Source organism: Homo sapiens, chromosome 12 (assembly GCF_000001405.40).
Source record: "Homo sapiens chromosome 12, GRCh38.p14 Primary Assembly".
Classification (NCBI taxonomy): Eukaryota; Metazoa; Chordata; class Mammalia; order Primates; family Hominidae; genus Homo; species Homo sapiens.
In genome coordinates this window covers 97,672,783-97,677,327 of record NC_000012.12, presented here as the reverse complement: position 1 = coordinate 97,677,327, position 4,545 = coordinate 97,672,783, and positions in this window count along the sequence as shown.

The window sequence follows — 4,545 nt, the reverse complement described above, 5'->3', positions numbered from 1 at the left end:
GATTTGGCTCTCTGTTTGTCTGTGATTGGTGTATAAGAATGCTTGTGATTTCTGCATATTGATTTTGTATCCTGAGACTTTGCTGAAGTTGCTTAACAGCTTAAGGAGATTTTGGGCTGAGACAATGGGGTTTTCTAAATATACAATCATGTCATCTGCAAACAGGGACAATTTGACTTCCTCATTTGCTAATTGAATACCCTTTATTTCTTTATCTTGCCTGATTGCCTTGGCAATCAGAACTTCCAACACTATGTTGAATAGGAGTGGTGAGAGAGGGCATCCCTGTCTTGTGCCAGTTTTCAAAGGGAATGCTTCCAGTTTTTGCCCATTCAGTATGATATTGGCTGTGGGTTTGTCATAAATAACTTTTATTATTTTGAGATATGTTCCATCAATACCTAGTTTATTGAGAGTGTTTAGCATGAAGGGCTGTTGAATTTTGTCAAAGGCCTTTTCTGCATCTATTGAGATAATCATGCGGTTTTTGTCGTTTGTCCTGTTTATGTGATGGATTAGGTTTATTGATTTGCATATGTTGAACCAGACTTGCATCCCAGGGATGAAGCCGACTTGATCGTGGTGGATAAGATTTTTGATGTGCTGCTGGATTCGGCTTGCCAGTATTTTATTGAGGATTTTTGCATCAGTGTTCATCAATGTTCGTCAGGGATATTGGTCTAAAATTCTCTTTTTTGTGTGTGTCTCTGCCAGGCTTTGGTATCAGGATGACGCTGGCCTCCTAAAATGAGTTAGGGAGAATTCCCTCTTTTCATATTGATTGAAATAGTTTCAGAAGGAATGGTACCAGCTCCTCTTTGTACCTCTGGTAGAATTCAGCTGTGAATCCGTCTGGTCCTGGACTTTTTTTACTTGGTAGGCTATTAATTATTGCCTCAATTTCAGAACCTATTATTGGTCTATTCAGAGATTCCACATCTTACTGGTTTAGTCTTGGGAGGGTGTATGTGTCCTATGTGTCCAGGAATTCACCCATTTCTTCTAGATTTTCTAGCTTGTTTGGGTAGAGATATTTATAGCATTCTCTGATGGTAGTTTGTATTTTTGTGGGATCGGTGGTGATATCCCCTTTAACATTTTTTATTGTGTTTATTTGATTTTTCTCTCTTTTCTTCTTTATTAGTCTTGCTAACGGTCTATCAGTTTTGTTGATCTTTTCAAAAAACCAGCTCCTGGATTCGTAGATTTTTTTGAAGGGTTTTTTGTGTCTCTATCTCTTTCCGTTCTGCTCTGATCTTAGTTCTTTCTTGCCTTCTGCTAGCTTTTGAATTTGTTTGCTCTTGCTTCTCTGGTTCTTTTAATTGTGATAGTAGGGTGTCAATTTTAGATCTTTCCTGCTTTCTCTTGTGGGCATTTAGTGCTATAAATTTCTCTCTACACACTTCTTTAAATGTGTCCCAGAGATTCTGGTACATTGTGTCTTTGTTCTTATTGGTTTCAAAGAATATCTATTTCTGCCTTCATTTCATTATTTACCCAGTAGTCATTCAGGAGAAGTTTCCTGAATCACTGTTGTTCAGTTTCCATGTAGTTGTGCTGTGCAGTTGTTTTTTTTTTTTTTTTTTTTTTTTTTTGAGATGGTGTCTTGCTCTGTCACCCAGGCTGGAGCGCAGTGGTGCAATCTCAACTCACTGCAACCTCCACCTCCCTGGCTCATGCCATTCTCCTGCCTCAGCCTCTGAGTAGCTGGGACTACAGTTGCCTGCCACCATGCCTGGCTAATTTTTTTGTATTTTTAGTAGAGATGGGGTTTCACCATGTTAGCCACGATAGTCTGGATCTCCTGACCTTGTGATCCTCCTGCCTTGGCCTCCCAAAGTGCAGGGATTATAGGCATGAGCCACCGCGCCTGGCCAGTTGTGCAGTTTTGAATAGGTTTCTTAATCCTGAGTTCTAATTTGATTGTACTGTGGTCTGAGAGACAAGTTTGTTGTGATTTCTCTTTTTCACATTTGCTTAGGAGTGCTTTACTTACAACTATGTGGTCAATTTTGGAATAAGTGCGATGTGGTGCTGAGAAGAATGTATATTTGTTGATTTGGTGTGGAGAGTTCTGTAGATGTCTATTAGGTCCACTTGGTGCAGAGCTGAGTTCAAGTCTTGGATATCCTTGTTAACCTTCTGTCTCGTTGATCTGTCTAATATTGACAGTGGGGTGTTAAAGTCTCCCATTATTATTGTGTGGGAGTCAGGGTCTCTTTGTAGGTCTCTGTGGACTTGCTTTATGAATCTGGGTGCTCCTGTGTTGGGTGCCTATATATTTAGGATAGTTAGCTCTTCTTGTTGAATTGATCCCTTTACCATTATGTAATGGCCTTCTTTGTCTCTTTTGATCCTTGTTGGTTTAAAGTCTGTTTTATCAGAGACTAGGATTACAACCCCTGCTTTTTTTTGCTTTCCATTTGCTTGGTAGATCTTCCCCCATCCCTTTATTTTGAGCCTATGTGTGTCTTTGCACGTGAGATGGGTTTACGTGCTGAATATAGCACACTGATGGGTTTTGACTCTTTATCCAATTTGCCAGTCTATGTCTTTGAATTGGGGCATTTAGCCCATTTACATTTAAAGTTAATATTGTTATGTGTGAATTTGGTCCTGTCATTATGATGTTAGCTGGTTATTTTTCCCATTAATTGATGCAGTTTCTTCATAGCATTGATGGTCTTTACAATTTGGCATGTTTTTTCAGTGGCTGGTACCAGTTGTTCCTTTCCATGTTTAGTGCTTCCTTCAGGAGCTCTTGTAAGGCAGGCCTGGTGGTTATAAAATCTCTCAGCATTTGCTTGTCTGTAAAGGATTTTATTTCTCCTTCATTTATGAAGCTTAGTTTGGCTGGATATGAAACTCTGGGTTGAAAATTCTTTTCTTTAAGAACGTTGAATATTGGCCCCTACTCTTTTCTGGCTTGTAGAGTTTCTGCTGAGAGATCTGCTGTTAGTCTGATGGGCTTCCCTTTGTGGGTAACCTGATCTTTCTCTCTGGCTGCCCTTAACATTTTTTCCTTCATTTCAACCTTGTTGAATCTGACCATTGTGTGTCTTGGGGTTGCTTTTCTCGAGGAGTATCTTTGTGGTGTTCTTTGTGTTTCCTGAATTTGAATATTGGCCTGCTTCACTCAGTTGGGGAAGTTCTCCTGGATAATATCCTGCAGAGTGTTTTCCAACTTGGTTCCATTCTCCCCATCACTTTCAGGTACACCAATCAAACGTAGATTTGGTCTTTTCACATAGTCCCATATTTCTTGGAGGCTTTGTTCATTTCTTTTTACTCTTTTTTCTCTAAACTTCTCTTCTCACTTTATTTCATTAATTTGATCTTTAATCACTGATACCCTTTCTTCCACTTGATCGAATTGGCTATTGAAGCTTGTGCACACGTCACTTAGTTCTCATGCCATGGTTTTCAGCTTCATCAGGTCATTTAAGGTCTTCTCTACACTGTTTATTCTAGTTAGCCATTCGTCTAATCTTTTTTCAATGTTTTTAGCTTCCTTATAATGGGTTCGAACACCCTCCTTTAGCTCAGAGAAGTTTGTTATTACCGACCTTCTGAAGCCTACTTCTGTCAACTTGTCAAAGTCATTCTCCGTCCTGCTTTGTTCAGTTGCTGGCGAGGAGCTGTGATCCTTTGGAGGAGAAGTGTTCTGGTTTTTAGAATTTTTAGCTTTTCTGCTCTTGTTTCTCCCCATCTTTGTGGTTTTATCTACCTTTGGTCTTTGATGTTGGTGACCTACAGATGGGGTTTTGGTGTGGATGTCTTTTTTGTTAATGTTGATGCTATTCCTTTCTGTTTGTTGGTTTTCCTTCTAACAGTCAGGTCCCTCAGCTGCAGGTCCGTTGAAGTTTGCAGGTGGTCCACTCCAGACCCTTTTTGCCTGGGTATTGCCAGCAGAGGCTGCAGAACAGCAAATATTGCAGAACAGCAAATATTGCTGCCTGATCCTTCCTCTGGAAGTTTTGTCCCAGAGGGGCATCCACCTGTATGAGGTGTCAGTTGGCCCCTAGCCCCTACTTGGAGGTGTCTGCCAGTTAGGCTACACGGGGGTCAGGGACCCACTTGAGGAGGCAGCCTGTACATTCCCAGAGCTCAAACACTGTGCTGGGAGAACCACTGCTTCTTCAGAGCTGTCAGACAAGGACGTTTAAGTCTGCAGAAGTTTCTGCTGCCTTTTGCTCAGCTATGCCCTTCCCCCAGAAGTGGAATCTATAGAGGCAGCAAGCCTTACTGCGCTGTGGTGGACTCTGCCCAGGTTCAAGCTTCCTAGCCACTTTGTTTACCTACTCAAGCCTCAGCAATGGCAGAATCCCCTCTCCTGTCAGGCTGCTGCCTCACAGGTTGATCTCAGACTGCTGCACTAGCAGCGAGCATGGCTCCGTGGGCATGGGACCCACTGAGCCAGGCACAGGATATAATCTTCTGGTGTGCTGTTTGCTAAGACGATTGGAAAAGTGCTGTATTTGAGTGGGAGTGTCTCATTTTTCCAGGTAGTCTCTCTTGGCTTCCCTTGGCTAGGAAAGGGAAATC